Source organism: Homo sapiens, chromosome 2 (assembly GCF_000001405.40).
Source record: "Homo sapiens chromosome 2, GRCh38.p14 Primary Assembly".
Lineage (NCBI taxonomy): Eukaryota > Metazoa > Chordata > Mammalia > Primates > Hominidae > Homo > Homo sapiens.
This window is the reverse complement of record NC_000002.12, coordinates 23,789,279-23,811,267: the sequence shown is the minus strand read 5'-3', so window position 1 is coordinate 23,811,267 and position 21,989 is coordinate 23,789,279. Positions and strand designations below refer to the sequence as shown.

The 21,989-nt window shown below is 34.0% G+C and overlaps 1 protein-coding gene across 25 annotated transcripts in view; it reads left to right on the top strand.

Annotated features, from left to right (window-relative positions):
• Positions 1 to 21,989, top strand: part of ATAD2B (ATPase family AAA domain containing 2B) — a 249,155-nt gene that overhangs the window by 115,856 nt on the left and 111,310 nt on the right. For 19 of the 25 annotated variants that reach the window (XR_001738780.3, NR_125717.2, XR_001738782.3 and 16 more), the window contains 2 exons: positions 766 to 952; positions 12,945 to 13,130. Coding sequence is in view for 22 of the 25 variants with exons in the window: in XM_047444799.1 (XP_047300755.1) it covers positions 766 to 952; positions 12,945 to 13,130 (373 nt within the window). In the remaining 3 variants the exon portion in view is untranslated. The other 6 variants (XM_047444805.1, XM_011532930.4, XM_011532928.3 and 3 more) reach the window with 5 other exon arrangements.

Genomic DNA, 21,989 nt, shown 5'->3' with positions numbered 1-21,989 from the left:
TCACCTCCTAAAGGCCCTGCCTGTTAATTGAGTCCTACATTTGGGATAATCTTCAAATCTACCTCTTTGTCAAAAAGTGAGATTCCTAACATTTAACCTTGGATAACTAATAACTAAATGATACTGGAGTTTAATGCATCTTCAAGTTAATATATGTGGTATGATAGCAGGAATACCAAGGTTATTTTATTTTATTTTAAAGTGGATTTATTTTATTATTTGTTTGTTTGTTTGTTTGTTTGTTTGTTTGTTTTTTGAGATGGAGTTTTGCTCTTGTTGCCCAGGCTGGAGTGCAGTGGTGTGATCTCGGCTCACTGCAACCTTCGCCTCCCGGGTTCAAGCGATTCTCCTGCCTCAGCCTCCTGAGTAGCTGGGATTACAGATGCCCGCCACCACAGCCAGCTAATTTTTGTATTTTTAGTAGAGACGGGGTTTCACCATGTTGGCCAGGCTGGTCTTGAACTCCTGACCTCAGGTGATCCGCCCACCTTGGCCTCCCAAAGTGCTAGGATTACAGGCATGAGCCACTGCGCCTGGCCCTTAAAGTGGATTTTATACTTTTATATCTTGGTTATTAATATGGTCAGAGATACCAACATTTTAAAACCATAATTAATAAAAAAATAAGTCACTATACTAAAATAATATAGGAAAGTTCTGTTAATTTGGAGTTAAATTGTTTTAATGTAAAAATTTTGCCTGATATTTCATATTTGTCTTCAGAATGTATGCCTTTGAAATAATTATGTCTTACATGTATTACAGGTCACCATATCATCAGCCAACCTCTTACAGGCCACGCTTATTGCTCTCTGGAGAACGGGGCTCAGGTCAAACTTCTCACCTTGCTCCAGCACTTTTGCACACTCTAGAAAGATTCTCTGTGCATAGACTAGATCTCCCAGCACTTTATTCAGTTAGTGCCAAAACACCTGAGGAATCATGTGCACAGGTAGGTTTGTACCACATCAGAGCACTTCCAACTTTCTTATTGCTTATAATTTGGTAGTATTTCTAGTGTGTAGTGTTAAAGATAAGATTTTTTCAGAGTACGATATGAATATTAACTTTTTGTTGATTATTCATTAGCATTCTAGTATTAGTGTAAAGGATCCTTTTGATGCATACAGTTTTTTAAGTGAGCTCATTGTCTTTCTCATGATCCTCCTTACTGAAATTTTAATACCCTGTGTCATTATGCATTGTAGAAAGGGAGTTTATTTTGCCTTTTTCTGACCCTCTGTTCAAAGTTGTGGTCTCAGAGCAGTTTCAGACTTCTGTCTTTTCTTAGAGCCTTATCATAGAAAGGGAAATTATATCCAATTTGAGATAATCAGGATTTAATATTCATATTAGAATAGTGATAGCAGTTCAAAAATTATAGATATTTGTGTTGACAGTTGTGTATTTGACATTTGATTTTCAACTATTTTGTATTTACTGGTTTGTGAAGCAAAGTTCTAGTGGGGCTGTTTATATTTCTTGAGGTTGTTATATATAACCATGGATATATTATGTCATATTGAAACTAGGGATGAGGTTAATACATTTTTTGAGCCAAGGGACCATATCTAAGCCATTTTTGTAACTCTGACAAGGTGTCTAGCTGATAGTAAGTGGTCATTAAATGTTTGAATAATAATGTTTCAAATAAATAAGTTAGAGAGAGGAATGCCACTTTGTACTTCGATACTTAGCCTACTTTTAGAGTTAAATAACTGGAGTAGTAACACTTAAAACATTTCACACAATTTTGTTGTTTTTTTCCCAGTTACATTTTCCGAATACTTAACACATATACTGTAATTATCTAACTGAAAGCCATTTCCTACATTGTAGCAAGAAATATGCATTTTTTAAACAGTTCATAGTAGTATTGATTTAGTTTCTCTTTTACTCACAGTTCTCTGGATATGAACACCCTACCAGCACTTCATCACTTTTAAAGCCCTATTTAAAGGTTTCTTTCCAAAACCCTTGAATTAAATGCTATCTACCAGTATTTTGCTCCCAGTTTGACACATTTAACTCATCCTGGGTGTGTTTTCCAATAATGTTGATTTATATGTTTGCTCATATTTTTCTTTTTAGACAAAATTACTGCAGGTTGTATGCAAGTAAAAGAATTACTCAGTACCATTTAAAATAAATACAAATGATTTAGTAGAAAAATATAAATCAACAAAATTGACCCCAGAGAAGAGAGAATCTAAACAATCACTGTGGAAGAAGAAATTCAGCAAGTATCTTAAAACCACTAAACATAGATGGTTTCACAGGTGAATTATTTTAATCTTAAAGGATAAGATCATTTTGATGCTAGTCACACTGTTCCAACAGCATAGGAATAGGAGGAAAGCTGTGAAATTGGCAAAATCAACAATATCACATCTTTCAGGGAAATACAAAATAAAACTGTAGACCAATCTCATTTCAGCAATGTTCATAAAGAAACTATTACAAATGAAATCTAGTAGCACATCAAAAGAATAATATAACATTACTAAAGCATGCAAGATTAATTCAGTTAGACATTGAGAGATCTAAGTATTGGAAAGGATACACTGAATTTGTAAGTATTTGCCTATGATGTGATTAATTATATGGAAAACTTACAGTGTCAACTAAAAAATGATGTAAGACAATAAAGAAATTCCATAAGGTGGACACTTTCAAAGTTAGTGTTTTAAAATGATAGTTTTCTCTTATAAATACTATAATAAGTTAGAAATATAATGGAAGAAGAGGTCCCAATTGAAATAGCAACTAAGTTTACGTAGGAATTAGCAGAAACAATATGAAGGGACTATGAGAAGAAAACTAAAAGTTGCTGAGGGGGACAGTTGAATATATGAAAGACATACCTTATTTGTTTGTTTCCAAACCCAAAGGCCAGAGAAGTCTCCCACCAGGAATGCTCTCTGCCTTTCATAGTATCATCAATCTTCTTGGCTGGGGGAAGAAGCCATCTTTATTAAGGAGGCCAGAGCTGGGCTAGTCTCATGTATTCTTCCCATATCCCTAAAGTAAATATATATATTTACTTTATATATATATATATTTTTATATAAATATAAATATATATATAAATATATATCACTTATATATAAATAACATATAATATAAGTAATCACTTATATATAATAATTATATATATAATTACTTATATATATAATTATATATATAATTACTTATATATTATAATTTATAGTTACTTATATATAAATAAATTACATATATAATAAATAAATAATATATATAAATTACTGTGCTAAATTTATATATAAATATATTTATAATATATATATTATAAATATTTATATATTTATATATATTATAAATATATTTATATATTTATATTTATATATTTTATTATATACATTTATTTTTTATATATAAAATGTATATATTTTATATTTTATTATATATATATATATATTTTTTTTTTTTTTAAGATGGAGTCACGCTCTGTTGCCCAGGCTGGAGTGCAGTGGCGCAATCTCAGCTCACTGCAACCTCCGCCTCCTGGGTTCAAGCGATTCTCCTGCGTCAGCCTCCCAAGTAGCTGGGACTACAGGTGCGTGCCACCATGCCCAGCTAATTTTTTGTATTTTTAGTAGAGACGGTGTGTCACCATGTTAGCCAGGATGGCCTTGATCTCCTGACTTCGTGATCTGCCCGCCTTGGCCTCCCAAAGAAGTATCTTCAGAGATTTGGCATTTGGGTCTCAAACCAAGCTTGTAGACTTCAAAATTTGGTTGTCTGAAACTAAAATCTCTACCTTGAGATCTCAGGAGCTTATGTTGTAAACCAAAAGCGAAGAATTTTGTTTGTTATCTTCAGTCTTCTGATCAACTCTTTTGAGGCAAGAGGTTTGGAATGTTCTACATAGATAAATTTCAAATGTATTTGATTGGGCAGTTAAAAATCTGTTGAGCGTTCAACTCCATATGTGAATGTACTTTCTAGTGTGTGTATGTGTGTGCATGTGTGTGTACACACTACTATTAATCTTTATATTAGTAAATAGCAAAGCTTAGATGTTTTTTCTGCTTTAGATATCAATTAAATGTCAATATTCTCATCACCTCTTACTCTCAGCTCCCATGATCTGATCATTGCTCCAGATCTCTGCATTGGGAGTGAACCACTATATAGGAACAAGAAAGTCTGGGGATTTGGGATGGGCATATCTCAGTGAATACTTCACAGTGTCATCTGCATAGAGAGAGCCATGCCTGGCTAGAATACTTATGGTGACTTCATACTAATGATAATGTTGTGTTAATATGTGGAGCTTTAGAGGAAGAAGCACACTTTGTTTGTAATTACTGTGCTAAATTTCTTTAGTTCAGAATGTAGACTCAAGTCAAATTATGCAGATTAAAATCTCAGTTGTGGTTGTGACTTGGGCAAGTTGCTTAACACTCTGAGCCTTAATTTTCTCATCTGTGAAATGGAGATGACACCATGAGGTTATCAAATAGGCTTGACATATAGTCCTCAATGAAAGTTAGTTATAATCGTGCTTATTACTACTACCATTGCTGCCACTGCTACTGCTTACAGCTAATGAATGGTAAGACTTTAAATTCAAAGGCTGTGAGGTTTTTTCCTAAATTAATGTATAAATTAAGTACAGTTCTAATTATAATCTCCTCAAAACTTAGGGGGAGAAGTTAAAAAAAAAGAGTTCTGTTTCTTCTAGAAAATAAATATGAGAGTAGCAAGGAGAATTCTAGAGGAAAAAGTGTCATTAGGGCGCCCTACCAAAATTGTAAGGGTGTAATAGAGTTACAGTAATAAAGAAAGTATGCCTGTGCAAGAGTAGACAAAGTAATAGAACAGAAGAGACTATTCATGCTTAGACTTGTGTAGAAGTAGAATTTGATGGTTATGACCACAATGGCGATGACATTTCATATCAGTAGATGGAAGAAATGGATTATTTACCAAATGGTCTTGGAAAACTGGCAAGCTCCTCCAGTAGGGGAAAAAGCAAAACAAATAAAACTGGGATTTCCTACTTTTTTCTGTAGCCCAAAATAAACTCTACATGGGCAGTGGAACTATAAAAGTACTGGAAAAATTCACAAGGTCAGTATATTTATTATCTTATGTGTGAAAGTAATTTCTAAGCAATGCACAAAAACTAGAAAACATAAAGATATGAAGGAATTTGATTATATAAAATTTTAAATTGCACATGGCAAAAAGCATTCTTTAGATTAAATTAATAGATATAGTCTGGGAAAAAGTATATTTGTAGCAGATATGTTGAGAACAAGTTTTCTAAATATGGGCAAATACCTTAAAATCAGTAAGAAGAAAGAATAGCAATCTAATATAAAAATTGGCAAAATAGAAACATGCTATTTATGGGGGAAAATAAAAAGTAACCAATAAAAATGTGAAAAGATTCTAAGCTTCACTTAAGTGAAAATAAAGTATCAGATTTGTTTTTTTTTTTTTAAAGCTTGATAATGCCATTTGGAGATGTGGACTGCTTAGACTTAGTGGAAATGTAAATTTATTTGATGTTTTTGGAGTGTAATTTGGCACCATCTTTTAAAATTTCAAGTACCACATTGGTGTAGTGTGAGAAAAGAAAATAACATTTCAAATACATATACCTTTTGACCCAGGAATTCTATGTTTAGGAATTTTTCCTAAAGATACGTTAGCTACAAGTATTCATTGCTAAATGAACAAGGATATTTGTCACTGTGTCGTGTGTAATTGCCACACGAAACATAAAGGCAAACAAACTGAATATCCCTTCACGTGGGACCAGCTAAAATTAGTTATGGTGTATCTTGACATACAAAGGAGTACTGTCTAGCCATTAACATGAATGAGATAGATTTACATGGGCTGAAAAATGCAGGTGACATTAGTGAAAAAAGCAAGTATTCTCAAAAACTGTTAATATGGTTGCTTTGGCTTGGGGAGAAGGAATCTGGAAGATTGGGAAATGTGTGAACCTTGCCTTTTTAGTTTATGCTATACTGTTTAGAAAATTCTCTTTTTTGAAGTTTTTATTTGACTGTATCAAGCAAGCTAAAGATGAAAAAAATCACTTTGAAAGAGAAATATTTTCTTTTCTTTTCTTTTTTTTTTTTTTGAGACAGGGTTTTGCTCTTGTTGTCCAGGCTGGAGTACAATAGCGTGATCTCGGCTCATTGCAACCTCCGCCTCCCGGGTTCAAGTGATTCTCCTGTCTAAGCCTCCCGAGTAGGTGGGATTATAGGCGCCCACCACCACGCCCAGCTAATTTTTGTATTTTTAGTAGAGTTGGGGTTTCACCATGTTGGCCAGGCTGGTCTGGAACTCCTGACCTCAGGTGATCTACCCGCCTCTGCCTCCCAAAGTGCTGGTTGTAATCTAGTCATGAGCCACTGTGCCCAGCCAAGAGAAATATTTTCAAAGTGAGAAAGGTTTTTTTATTTTTGTTTATAGTTGTTCCTTATGGTTAATTTGTATATATATTCACAAACATTACTGGTTTAATGTTATTTAAGTAAAGGTAAGGAAACACTTAGGAAGCATTGTAGTGAACTATATATTGATGTTATAGGGTTTTTTTTTTTTTTCCTGATTTTTTTCGTGGCATGATTCTGAATCCTGCTTGGCCAACTTTGAATTCTAACTTCATCCTCTGGTCTCTTGTACGCTTCTTGGCTTTTACTACTTTTTTGTTTTGGTGGGAAGGAGAGAGGTGTCACTTGGTAGTGAAAAACAATGAAAACTCACTATCATTTTGGTTGTATTTCACTTTCTCTAGTACATTAAGGCATCTCATCTTCTGAGTTTATACCTAAGAGCTTCTGGGTTAGAAGTCGAGCTTACTCTAGAGTGACCCCTCCTGGATAGGCAGTCTGCCAGGACGAGCCATGAAGTGCAGTCATGATAGCAGACACCCACCCTCTATCTGAACACTGGCCAGAGACCAGATGTCTTGGCTAATCTGTGATTATATGTGTCTTAAGTGCATATTTAAAATTATTTTACATTCATAAATATAACACTATCTTTGCTAACAAATTCGGCAAGAAGAAGCTGTTACATAATGTAAGAGGAATTTTTAAATAATTGGTAAAGGTTGGCAAACCAGGTTATAAGTGGGTACAAAAGCGCTAGGGAAGAGAGTGCATGAGTCAGGTGCTGAAACACTGGAAAGATTGAAAAAGATTCTCTTTTCTTCTGTTCTATATTCCTTTTTGGTTCTTCCTTTTTGCTTCACCTTTCTTGGCAGCTAGTCCTCCTATACTCAGAGGTATCTCTCTAAATCGATGTGTAATATAAGGGTTTAGTCTGTGGTAAGTTATTCTTGCATGTTTTCTCTTTTCCCCAGGCTCTAAAATGCTTAATATAAATTAAGTTTGGTATTTAGTAGTGTAACATGAACATGAAAGGCAGTCTTAAAGGGAATCTTAAATCACTTTTAAAGGGCTGTATGTATATGCGTGGTAAGGTGGGAGACCCTACTTGATATTGTTTATACTGTGGGGATCATGTTTCATTTTATGTCTATCCTTTAAAACATACATGCACAAGAATATACATGACAGAACTTTCTTTTCTCCTTCTGACGGATTCAGCTATTGATTAATATTATCAATTGGAGTGAAAAATGGCAGAGTTAGTGTCAACTATATTAAAAAGCAATGTTTTTCTTATTGTTTCTTAAGATTTAGTGTGCATAAGAATCACCTGAGTGTACTTACACAAATTTCTGATTTTCTGGCTCCACACCCATAGATTGTGATTCACTCAATTTGGAATGAGTCCCAGGAATCTGTACTTTGTAAAAATGCATCTCAGATATTACTATTCTAGGTTTTCAATAGCTCTCACTTTGAGCTATAGTACTTTAGCTGGTCACTAGACATTAGTCCAACATTTATTACTGAAACAAATGCGTGCGCGTGTGTGTGTGTGTGTGTGTGTGTGTACACACATATGTTACTGAGCATTTCACAGTCAGCTTTGGAAGGAGAATGAGAACCCTTGGTATAGCCTGGAAGATTTATAGTTGCCCCCTTAAGTTCACAAGTAATTACTGAGTCCTACAACAAGGCAGGAGATGTTAATATCGGTAGTAAAAGACCTTTGGTATTAACACTCTTAAAAAACAAAACAAAACTATGATTCTCTTTTTCTGACATCCTCAAATATAATTTTTGCCTCCTGTATATTTCTATTGTTGATTTAGAAAAAAGGGACTGATAAGCGTGCTATATTTTATCTTTTTAATTATTAGAGAGGTTTCATTCAATTAATACATTTATATATGGTCTGAAAAGCTTTGGAGTTTATGTACTGTGTGGTGTTGGGAATAATTTCAAAAGGTGAATAAGGTCTTTTCTTGGTGAAAATTTAAATGCATTTCTTTCCCCAGAAAGAAATTGTTATCTGGAATTTCACAGGGGAAATTCTTTTTGGTTGAATAGCATGAAAGTATTAATAATGTACTTACCTGTGTGTATACTTCGGTTGCTCTTGTGTTTGTGCTTATAGATTTCTGGATTTCTCTGTAGCAGTCTGTGTATATTTTGGATGCTTTTGTGTTTGCTCACATGGATATCTGACTTTTTCCATAGCAACACTTCTTAAATTTTTTTTTTTTTTGAGTTGTAGACAAGTTAAATTATCCTGACCTGGAGTGTGTCACATTTACTGAAATTCTTGAAGTCCTTAGGGAATGAAAATATTAGAAAAAGAATTTAAGTGATTTAATTTTCATAAAATGCTAATTTGTGTTACTACCATAGTTCAGAAACTAGTACAGGTGTGTTTTATAACAGGCTGATTTTATGTGCATGTAAAGAAATTTGTACCTTATTTATTGAATCCTGAATCTTTAGAATCCAGACAGTGCCTTCTTTTCACAAGAGATTCTCAATAAATCTTATATGAAGGGAATATAAATAGAGTAAAGGGATAAAAATGGAATAAAGCCACCAGCAATGCACAGATGTTATTTATTTTAATAATTTCTGATAGCATGGCACAAAGAATTAAACTTATTTATTAGTGCCTTTTAATTTTTATAAATATTGAGGATGTTTTAGCTCCCAACATTTTTCTTTTACCTGTGCTTTATAATTTTAATATATTTATAATACTATTAAGTGATTGAGACAAGTTCTGGAAGTTTCTTGATGACACAAATTTGTTTCCCTCTTTTCTATATTGCCCTCTTTAGGCAGGTAAAAGTGATACTGGCTTTGAGCTTTCTGCTTCATTCACATTTGGGTTTAAAATTTTTCTAGTTTTCAATTTCTAAAGGAAATGGCTTGTTGTGGGACTATAAATTCTTAGTTTAAAAATACACTAGATTTTCATGGATGGAACATTTTAATTTCATGGCTAAAATGCTGACTTCAAAGTTTAGCTTTTGAGATGATTAGAACTCTTGTAAGTGCAAGAGTTATATCATGAGTGCTTCCTTGGATGGATACTTCTAACTTCAATGGCCTGATTTTTGCCTTTAATATCTTTAATATTTAGAGGAAGTAGTTTGTGATTTTTTTTTAATAAAGAAAGTTTTAAAAAAATTAGTTATCTAAGGTCCTTATGATGTCTGTGGCAAGAAGGAGGTCAGAAGGAAATGGAGTATAATGTTGTAATAAAGAATCAAAATGAACAGTTCACATATGCTGGTATTTGTTCATTTTACTTGTGCAAGAGTGCTGGTCATGTCAGAGGTATTTTGAAACGGTTGGTTCAGTAATTTGGCCTACTGTCTTTTTTTTTTTCTATAACAGTTTTTCTGTTTTCTACTACACCTTGCACATCCACCAATCCAAGACACCCTATAGGTGAGTATTTTTCTAGTTCTCAAATGGCATCACTTGTTCCCAAGCCAGTTGCCGCTTCATTGAAACTAGGCTATATTTTTCTACTCTGAATTATCTGGTATTTGATTTCACAGAGTGTATTTTACTCCACACTTTAAAAGTTACCAGCAAACTGCTGAAGAGCTGTTTTTATATTACAGAAAAAAATCATAATAGTATTAAACTTTTTTTTTTCCTGTTGCTTATACTATAAGAATTTTTAAATGCTATTCTCAAACTCTGTTCTTTTTGAATTTTTATTACAAAATGGGAATTAGAACAGACTGGTTATAAATCTAAAGAAAATATAAAAGTTTATTTTAATATTCTGAGATAACATAGAATAAGGAATTTAAAAGAAAGCTTGTTTTAATAGTGCTTTTTAGTTTTTGTAGAAATTAAGGATGGTTTTCCTCTAAAGACTTAGGAGAAAAATTACAAAAATATTTCATAGATGTTGGTATTTCATGTAGTTAGGTTAATTCTCAATTCATGTAATTATACACTCATAGATCAGAAAGGCGAAGCCTTTTTATTTTTCCATGTTCATCTTAGACTTGCCTGATTTTTTTCCCCAATAGGTTTTCAAATATAAATTTTTTTTTTAATCAAGAAGGACATTTTCCTAAAGGCTTTGGAAGTAAAAAGCTTCGAGATTTTTTTTTTAATTGGATCACTAGGATATCATGTTCAATTTGTTAATTTTGAGAAGATGAGATGAAAATAAGAAATTTTTTGGAAATGTGGACAAATTTCTAAATTTTTTAATGGGGTCAATACAACATCATGTTCAATTTGAGTTCAATATCATGTTAATTTTGAGACAATTGGAGGAAAAAAAGAAACAGAAAAAAACAAACCTCAACTCTTAGAGCTGGTGATGATTGTATGTAGTTCACCCTTGCAAATACAGTTAAGACACCTGTAGTTAACTTCTGACTCTGTCAAATTGTTATCACTTAACCTTCTGTTGCTTTGCTCATCCTCTTTGATACTTGTTAATGGCTAGATGTTCTCAACACATGTTCCTGGAAAATCTAACCTAGAAGTACTAGAATGAAAGGCAAAATTTCATTTTTTTAAAGGCATGTTTTCCTATCTCTCTCATACCCTGGGCATGTATGTGGTAGCTTGCATGGCTGAATTAAGTGATTGGCTTTGTGAGGTTTCTTAGTAACCTATAGCTGGTTAGTCTTTCATATGATCACCTTTGTTTCCTTGCTGACTCTTTCTTGTTTTACCAGCACAGAGTGGGGAACTGGAAAGTGACAAAAGGAGTTGGTCACTGTCTTCCACGTAACCATGCCTGATTTGGGTGGCATGTAATTTTTTTTTTTTTTAAATAAGTGCCTCAGTTGCCTTTGTGCTTCTGCATGGTTCTTTCCTTTTGCCAATATTTATGCTTGTTTTTCTCTTATGAATTTTCTACAAGAACTTTGGAAAAAAATAATCCTTGGATTTCCAAGATCCAGGATAGGAGGGTACGTGTTTGCAGAAAAGGTCAAAATTTGAGAGTCCTGAAGGAGTTGTACTGTACAACTGTTCTGGATTGGTGGATATGCAAATATTAAGGAAGGGAAGGAGCAAATATTACTTTTGATGTGAGTGATCATAACATCTACATTTTTTCCAATTATTATTTGAGCTTCTTTCATCTGGTTTATTATTGAATTGGCAGTACCTTTTATTTTACACAGAAGGTTGAAAGCTGTATAAAATACACTATTTAAAAAATGTATGCAAGTGGTAAGCTTACTCATTAAAGAAAAATAATACTTGATTCTTAGGATAGTTTCCGATAATCCCAATCATTTTAAATATTAAATTTTTCTTTTCTTTTTTTTTTTTTTTTTTTGAGATGGAGTCTCACTGTCTCCCAGGCTGGAGTATAGTGGTGTGATCTCGGCTCACTGCAACCTCCACCTCCCGGGTTCAAGTGATTCTCCTGCCTCAGTCTCCTGAGTAGCTGGGACTACAGGCGTGTGCCACCACACCTGGCTAATTTTTGGATTTTTAGTAGAGGTGGAATTTCACCATGTTGGACAGGCTGGTCTTGAACTCCTGACCTCAAGTGATCTGCCTGTCTCAGCCTCCCAAAGTGCTGGGATTACAGGCGTGAGCCACCGTGCCCAGCTAAATTCTTATTTCTATATCTTGTATATTACATAGGCTAATTGAAATGTGTTAAAAATAAGGGAAAATAAGTCGAGCATTTTAGGAATAGAATTCTCAAAATGGAAGAAAGATTTTTATAATTAAACTTGTTAAAGATAATGAGAAATGTCCTATTAACATGTCAGAATTTGTTGGTGGGATATTAAACTGTTGACTTAATAAGTAAGGGACATTAATTCAGCTTGGCAGCTTACTAATAGCCAACCTGGTCCCTATTGGTGTGTGTTGGCAGAGCGTGATTGAAACTATGGTTAAGACTTTTTAACACCTGAGGAAAAATTCATTCTGTATTTTCTGACAATGGAAGTGTCGCAGAGCTCTTTGCTATCATTTGCTCTTTAGATAAGTTAGAGTATTTTGTGACTATTTTATAAAATATTGAACTAAGATAATGGGAGGAGGTGAATGACTGTTTCAGCAAGTAGTTCATTAATTTTAAGCTCTAGGGTGGTACATCTTGGTTAAAATGATTATATATTGTATGATTTTAGTCAAGGTGCTCAAAAATGTAAACTATGTTGTTGTTCTTTTTGTAAAGTTTACTGATATCACATGAGTGCCATAGGTGTATGTTTATCTCTTTATTTGCAGCATATTTTACAGTGGTGTTTTGCTTTATTATCTTTACATGCTAGATAAGTGGAGCAATTTGATACCTTCCACTGTTAATATATACTGAATAGGAATAATTAAAGGGCAAAACATACTTTTTTTTTTGATAGGGCAAAACATACTTTTTTTTTTTTTGGTGGGGCAAGGGTAGATTGAAGCTGTGTAAGGCTTGTGCATCATATCTTGAACTTAAATTTTGAGGCTGAAACTAATGACCATAATAGGCCTGACATATTTCATGTATTTGGAGATTACTGGGTAGACTTTAGAATAATCAATTTGAGTTGTTTAATGTTGGTTTTTTTCCTTAATTAGATTTTTCGTGAAGCTCGAAGAACAGTACCTAGTATTGTTTACATGCCTCACATTGGGGATTGGTGGGAAGCTGTCAGTGAAACTGTGAGAGCAACTTTTCTGACATTGCTACAAGATATACCATCATTTTCACCTATATTTTTATTGTCTACCTCTGAAACCATGTACAGTGAACTGCCTGAAGAGGTAAGAACTGATTAAATATTTATCTTTCCTTATTATATTGTTCTAAAATAGTTGACTCTGTAAATTGGACACCTTTTAATTATTATAAAATTAATACTGCCAGGGTTTATATCCTGGGTGTAACTGCCTATTAGCTGTATGATGTAGGTAAGTTATTTAAGTTTTAGTTTCTTTTTTGGTATAGTGGTATTCCACAGTGTTGTTATAAAGATTGAGATAATTTATGCTTAGAACAAAACCTGAATTATATATATACAGATTCAGCATCTCTAATTCAAAAATTCAAAACCTGAAACTTCTTTGAGTGCTGACATGAAGCCACTAGTGGAAAATTTGACACCTCACGTGATGGGTTGCAGTCAAAACTTTGTTTCTTGCACAAAATTATTAAAAACATTGTATAAAATTACCTTCAGGTTATGTGTATAAGGTTTTTATAAAACTTAAATGAATTTTGTTTAGACTTGGATCCCATCCCCAAGATAATCTCGTTATATATATATGCACATATTTTAAAATCTGAAAAGGTTTGAAATCTGAAACACATCTGGTCTCAGGCATTTTGGAAAAGGGATACTCAGCTTTCTAAGAAAATTGTGGCTATATCACTATCAGTTATATCCTTTTCATCCTTATCATCTGTGGGGTCATTTGATGAGATTTGACCTTTCAGCCCTTTCATTGATAGCACCATGTTAACTTGAATGTTATTACTAATACACGTATTTTTCAAATCTGAAGTCTAACTTTGAGTTCAGATCTAAGGTAAAATCATAGTTGATTCAGAAAAAAATAGTAGATCATCTTACTTGAGTGAAATTGATTTTTTAAAAATTGTTTTAATACCCTGAGCTTACTAGGTCTTGAAATAGTCTCCTTTAGAAATGCTTAGAAATATTTTCCCCAGGAGACAAAGTAGGAATGATGTTTATATAAAAGATTTACATGTTTTAAGTGCTATAATATAAATCTTGATTATGTAGAATTTTATGGTTAAAGTGTTTGTTTACTGAGTTCTTTTGTGTTTCAGCTTTCATTAGTTATCTTGCTAAAATAGATTTGTATACTTTACTGCTTTTTGTAAGGAAAATATATTAAATGTAGAGTAATTCATTTTTGATTATTCAATATCTGATAGTATAGGAAGATCACTAATCAAAATGTTTATCATAGAGGCTAATAAAGTTTAATAGAATGCTTTATGTAGCAAGAGTTAGAAAAACCAGGGTATTGACTTACTAGTCTTTTGATCTTAGATAAATACTTGAACGTATAATTGCTTCATTTTCATCTATAACATGTGGATAATAACAGACAGGGTCATTGGTGTGAGACAGTATACGTGAATTTCTTTTGAAACCATGGAGCTATTAAATGTTTGGTATTAGTATTATAAAGTAGGAATGCAGCTGAAGTTGAAATTTAGAGGAATGGACTGAACCTGGATATAACCTGGGAGCCACTTTACAAGTTAGATCCTCTTTATCAGTTTTATTCTAATTTTATAAAAAGAAAGAGAAGAGTTAAAATGTGGGATACATGAGGGTTCTAGTTGGGAATATATAGGGAATATTCCCTGAAAATTTCCCTCTATATTGTTTGAAAAATTTCTAAATAAAAGTTTGATGAGCCTAACTTCTTGATAAGCAGTTTTTATTTTACCTACTTCTGTTGCCCATATGCATATGTAATTTTACTGTTGGTTTAGTATTTTAAAGCTAACATTATATCATGTACATTTCCAATGTTATACTGTTGTCATAACTTATAATGGATTCAGAAAGCCCACTGACTAGTAACCTTTTTCAGTATTTATTTACCAATACCCATAATTACTATCTAAAATATTAGAAATTTGCCAGCATTGAATTCTGAAATTTCAGCTCCTTTCCCTCTCGCTTTTGTCTTTATAAGTAGTTTTTAAAGCTATCGTGGATATCGTATTTGTGGGCTGAAGATTATGGGAATTCTCTTTTGATTATATAACATGTTTTATACTAATAGTTTGTAGGAAATTCTCCTCTGTTCCCAAGTCTTAACATTTTATTTTATTTGTTTACTTACTTTTGTAGAGACGAAGTCTCATTATGTTTCCCAGGCTGGTCTTGACTCCTGGTCTCAAGTGATCCTCCTGCCTCAGCCTCCCAAAATGCTGGGATTATAGGTGTGAGCCACCATGTCCAGCTAAGCCTTACAATTTAATTTCAGGTCTACCATTAGAATGCTTGCTTTCTTTTTTCTTTTTTCTTTTTTTTTTTTGAGATGGAGTCTCACTCAGCCACCCAGGCTGGAGTGTAGTGGCGTGATCTTGGCTCACTGCAACCACCATCTCCCAGGTTCAAGTGATTCTCCCGTCTCAGCCTCCCGAGTAGCTGGGATTACAGACACCTGCCATCATGCCCAGCTAATTTTTGTATTTTAGTAGAGATGGGGTTTCACCATGTTGGCCAGGCTGGTCTTGAACTCCTGACCTCAGGTGATCTCCCACCTCGGCCTCCCAAAGTGCTAGGATTACAGGGGTGAGCCACTGCGCCTAGCCTGCTTGCTTTCTTTAGGTCACAAACTAAGATAGTAATCTCTAATATTTAGCACATATTGATAAATATTTGGTGAATGAATGAGTAGCACAGAGAGTTGTAGACCAAGTAGCTGTAGGTTAGCAAGTTGCCAGATCTATGGAAGAAATGAAGTAGAGAGTGGGCAGTACAAAACCAATTCTCAGAGGAAAAAATGGCCTATTACTACAGTTGTACTACTGTACTCCAGCCTGGGCAACAGAGTGAGGCCGTGTCTCAAAAATAAAAGAGAAAATTTAATGTCATGAAAATATGTTTAAATGTATTGTTTTAAAAAATGCAGGTAATAAATCAATGTGTATGGTGTTTATAAAGATATAACTGGAAGGATATACACAGAAATGTTAATAGTAATTATCTGTGGATATAAAAGTTATAGTCATTTTAGTTTTTTATTGTCTTTATTTTCTATATCTTCCATAATAAATAACTATCATTATAATCAGAAAATAAACCTCATTATTCACAGAGGAAGGAGAAAGGAAGTTTTCCTGCTCTATTTTTAAAATAGAAGAAAACCCCAAAATAATTAGTCCTTCCATGATTAGTGTCTTATTAGTGGGACAAAATGACAAGTTCATCTTTTAGAACTTCTTTGACATTCTCTTGTGTCTCTTTGTATATATCCCTCTCTTGTAGTTCAATAGTCCCCACGATAAGTTTGTACTTGTGCATTGGGATACTGGGGAAAACATTAGCATTTCTGTTCATTTTTATTTTTCATATTAAATATTTCATGCATATATGGTTTATAATAAAACTATAAACCATATATACATGAAATATACTGTACTATTAAATATACTATTTTGGTAATAGTATATTTAATAGTAGTATAGCAAAACAGTATATTTAATAGTACAGTATATTTCATGTGTATATGGTTTATAATATATTATTTCCAAGTAGTATATTAGCAAAATAGTATATTTAAATAAATATGCATATAGTAATGAGAATATTTTCAGATTTTTTACTGATGAGGTGTTTGATCAAAAAAGTTTGGAAATCATTGCACCAGACCAGCTGTTATCAAAGTGTGGTCCAAGGACCCCTGAGGAGCCCCCAAGACTTTTTCAGGGGATTATCAAGTTTCATTTCCAACTACATATCTGCTGAGTCTGGGTTTTCATTATATACTTCAGTCAAACAACATATTGTAACAGATTGAATACAGAAGCAGAAATGAGAATCCAGTGGTCTTCCATTAAGCCAGACACAAAAGAGAATTGAAAACATTTAAAACAGTGCTGGCTGGATGTGGTGGCCCATGCCTGTAATCCCAGCACTTTGAAAGGCTGAGGCAAGCGGATCACTTGAGCCTAGGAGTATGAGACCAGCCTAGGCAACATGGCATAACACCATCTCTACAAACAATACAAAAATTAGCTGGGTATGATGGCGCGTGCCTGTAGTCCCAGCTATTCAGGAGGCTGAGGTGGGAGGATCGCTTAAGCCTGGGAGGTGGATGCAGTGAGCCAAGATCGTGTCACTGCACTCCAGCCTGGGTGACAGAGTGAGACGCTGTCTCAAAAAAAAGATAAAACAGTGCCACTTTTCTCGCTAAATTTTGTTTTATGTGTTTTATGTTCTTTCTATATTTTGGAAAAATATATTTTTCAAAAGAATATATGTTTTATTCTTTTAATGTTAGTGTTAATATCTAATGGGCTTATTTAAAATCTGTAAATATTGATGCATATAGCTCACATACATAAAAGCTTTTTTGGGGTCCTGAGACCAAAAAGTTTGTGCACCTCTGGTCTCTAGACCACTAGCACTTTCAGGTGTTACTGGCCATCATTTCTCCCATTCCTAGCACAGTGCTAACACATTGGAATTACTCTGTAAAAGTTTGCTGCATGAAAAAAGGAACTAACAGTTGAATCATCACGTAGGATTTAAGTAACCCTTGCCCAGCCTCACTCGCTTTCTGCATAATTCTTTCTTTTAAAATATTTTTTCTTTAAATTTTTGACCACTTGAGAACCATGCAGAATTGTAGTGTAAGTAAATTTACTTTTATAAACCCTTTCTGAAGATACTTGGAGAATTTTATTTGAGATATATGGGAATTGCAAGGTATTTATGGAGAATTAGAGAAGAGAGTTAATTTAAGGTTGAGCACAGAAAAAAGACTCTTAAGGGAGGAAGCAAATAAATTAGAGATATTTGTAGGAAGGAATGTAAACCTTGGCCAGAATTGTATTTCTGTTTCTGAAGACATTCACAGTATCTGCTTTGTTATTAAATTATTATGAGCAGGTTTAAGATTATATAATTCAGTATATTGGAAATGAATTTTAAAGAAATATTCCTCAGCTATGCTGATGAAAGTAAGATTACATATAGCATTTTGTTATCTTAAATGTTTCTTGTCATTGTCTCTCTAGGTTTATGGTAGGACCTGGGAGGGGAAAATCAGTAACTTCAATTAGAAAAATCAAGTAGGGGCATTGAAAACTCAGATTAATGATCATAAGATACAAGGGAACTGTTTTAATATTAATATTTTGGTAATAAAACAATTACGTGATTCTTAAAATTTAAGAGGAAGGAAATCTTCTCAAGTTTTTTTTTTTTTTTTTTTTTTTTTTTTGAGACAGAGTCTCTCGCTGTTGCCCAGGCTGGAGTGCAGTGGCACAATCTCGGCTCACTGCAAGCTCTGCCTCCCGGGTTCACGCCATTCTTCTGCCTAAGCCTCCTGGAGTAGCTGGGACTAAAGGCGCCCGCCACCACGCCCAGCTAATTTTTTGTATTTTTAGTAGAGAAGGGATTTCACTGTGTTAGCCAGTATGGTCTTGATCTCCTGACTTCGTGATCCACCCACCTCAGCCTCCCAAAGTGTTGGGATTACAGGTGTGAGCCACCGTGCCCGGCCACAAGTTTTTTTTCCCTAAGTGAAATAGGATAGTAGGTAAACATAGTTACTATTTTGAGATATGTAAACTATTTCTATTTTTATTTAATGGGTTGATATCCTATTTTGTTTTGAGCAAAGCAAATTTTATTTATGAAAGCTTTCTTAGGTTTATTTCTGACCTCTTTTTCACACCTTTTGTTATTGAGATCTTAAGTTCTTTTTTTTTTTTTTAGATCTTAAGTTCTTAACCATTAATTTTTCTTATTACAAAGGTTGCAGGAACCCTACCTTCAAAACTGGGGACTAACAATTCTAAGGAATGTGTTAATAAATTCGATAAAACAAAAAGGTTGGCCAGGTGCCATAGCTCATGCCTGTAATCCCAGCACTTTGGGAGGCTGAGGCTGGTGGATCACGAGGTCAGGAGATCGAGACCATCCTGGCCAACGTAGTGAAACCCCGTCTCTACTAAAAATACAAAAATTAGGCTGGGCGTGGTGGCACGCTGCTTGGGAGACTGAGGCAGGAGAATGGCGTGAACCCAGGAGGCGGAGCTTGCAGTGAGCCGAGATTGCACCACTGCACTCCAGCCTGGGCGACAGAGCAAGACTCCGTCTCAAAAAAAAAAAAAGATGGCTGTTATTAAAAAAAAACAGAAATTAACAAATGTTGATGAGGATGTGGAAAAAGGAGAACCTTTTTGCATTGCTGGTGGGAATGTAAAATTGTATAGCCACTGTGGAAAACAGTATGACATTATCTTAAATATATAAATGCCATATGATCCAGCCAATCAAGTTCTAGGTACTTACTCAAAAGAATTGAAAGCAGGGACTTGAACAGGTATTTGCACACCCATGTTCACAACAGCATCATTCATAGTAACCAAAAGGTGGAAACATCCTCAGTGTCCATTGATAGTTGAAAGGATAAACAAAATGTAGCATATACAATGGAACATTATTTAGCCTTAAAAAGGAGAAAATTTTGATGCATGTTGTAACATGGATGAAGCTTGAAGACATTATGCTAACTTAGTCATAGGACAAATTTTGTATAATTCCTTTTATATGAGGTTCCTTAGAGTATATGTAAATGGATGATAAGTGTATGAAAAGATGCTCATTATCAGTCATTCAGGAATGAAATACCACTGCAACCCACTAAAATATAGGTTGGGCAAGAGTAATTGCGTTTTTTGCCATTGAAAGCTGCAAAAAAAAAAAAAAAGTGCTTTTGCACCAACCTAATAGCTGTAATCAAAAATAAAGAATACCAAGTATTGGCAAGGATATAGAAACTGGAGTCCTTATATACTGCTGGTGGGATTGTAAAATGGTGCAGCCACTTTCCAAAGTTAAACATAAATTTATGGTATGACTCAGCAATTCCACTCCTAGTTATCTACACAAAAGAAATGAAAACATACTTTCACAGAAAGACATTTGTATGGGAATGTTTCTAGTTGTTGTACTCATACTAGCAAAAAGTGGAAACAATCCAAATGTTCCTTAATTGGTGAATGGCTAAACAAAATGTGATGAAATACTATTCAGCAATAAATGGAATGAAATACTAATACATACTACAACTTGGAAAAACCTGAAGTTTTAAGTGACAGAAGCCAGGCATAAAAGACTGTCAGTTGTATGATACAAAATGTCTAGAAGAGGCAATTCTCTAGAGACAGAAAGCATTATCAGTGGTTGTTAGGCTGGGACATGGGAGTGGGAGTGGGGATTGACTGCAGATAGGCCTGAGGAAACTTTTTGGGGTAATGGAAATGTTCTAAAATGTGCTTGTGATGGCTACACATCTGTAAAAATTTACTGAACATTATTGAACTGTTTTTTCAGAAATATTGGAAGGTGTGCCTAAGTGCATCTGGGAAAGTTAGGGAAGGCATCACACAGAAAGCATCAGCTTGAGTGGTGCATTAAAGAAGGGGTCAGGAATGAGTGAATACTATGTATCACAACCAGTGTGAACCAATGTGAAACAGAGCGTGATTTGTTCTGGGAATTATGGAAGGCTTGTCTTTGGTACACCATGAAGTTTGAGGCTAGGACTGTCAGAAGATAAAGTTAGGAGTGAACTTAGAGAAGTATAATTTATCCCACTTATAAAATGTTGGATTCTAAGGTGTTGGTAGTAACCTGGTAAGAATATCCATGGATTATTGTAGGCCTGTTCTTGGTATGCTTTTGTATTCATAAAGTGTTAACATAGTATTGAAAATTATCAGAGAAAATAGTTAAAATGAAATGTTTTGCCATTCTTGAACGAAATCGTGGTACGTCTAGGATATTAAGTTCTACTTATTTTTCAAGACCCAATTGATATAAGTGATTTCTGGTACATCTTACCTAGTGTCTTTTCACCCCTTGCAAGGTCTCTGCTCTGTTTTGCTACCTCTGTTACAGTACTCCCAGCATAGTATCATAATGCTTTTCTTCTGATACTCTAAAATCTTTGACAGCAGAGAACAAAGACATTTTCTTCAGTTTTATAACTGCAGTGTCTGGCATGATGTTTGACATACAAAGCATGTTCAGTAGTAAATTTACTTCCAGAACTTTCAAAGAAAGGCCATCAAAGCATTGATTAAAGGGTTGGAGGGAACTGTGCATGAAGGTAGTCTACAAAAGCACTGGAACGACACAAGGTGAAATTTTATGAACTTTTAAATGATTTGACTTTAGGTTGAGATAAATAATTCCCCATCCAGTTTTTGAATTCTGATGTTTACCTTTCATTGTTTCTTCTTCTCTTAGAATTTCAGAGCTGGAAAAGGCATTGACAGTTTATATAATTTAGTCTTCTTTATTCACTTTATTACCTTAAGCCAATTACTTAAATCTTTCTAAGCCCCAGTTTCCCCATCTGTAAAATGAGGAAATAATACTTACCTCATTGTTATGAAGGTAGAATGATATCATATTTATGGAATTTTTAAGGGTTCATTTCATAGGTTTAATCCAGTAAGTGGTTAGAAATGACAAACTGAATGAATTATTCAAATTTTACCACAAATGTGTGGCTAAATTTGGGCAGGAATATGATGTCTTTGATTCTAATCCATATTTTCACAGTGTCATGGTTGGTCTATCTTTCCATACTGGTGACTTTCTCCCTTTTTTTATTTGCAGTTTCCTGTTTGATTTGGGCTGGGTAACAAAAATCACAAGGTTAACTCTTTCAGTACATACTTATTAGGCATTGCTAAATACCAGGCACTGGGATAGGTATAGAAAAATAGGTGAATAAGAAGTGGTCTCTGTTCTCAGGGAGTTTGGTGTCTAGAAGGTAGAAGGTAGACATTCTAGAAAAACCATAAAAATTAAATACAGTGTTTAATGCCATAGTAGACAAATTTGGATGAGGTAAAGAGCATTTAAACAGCATATCTTGGAAGGTGGA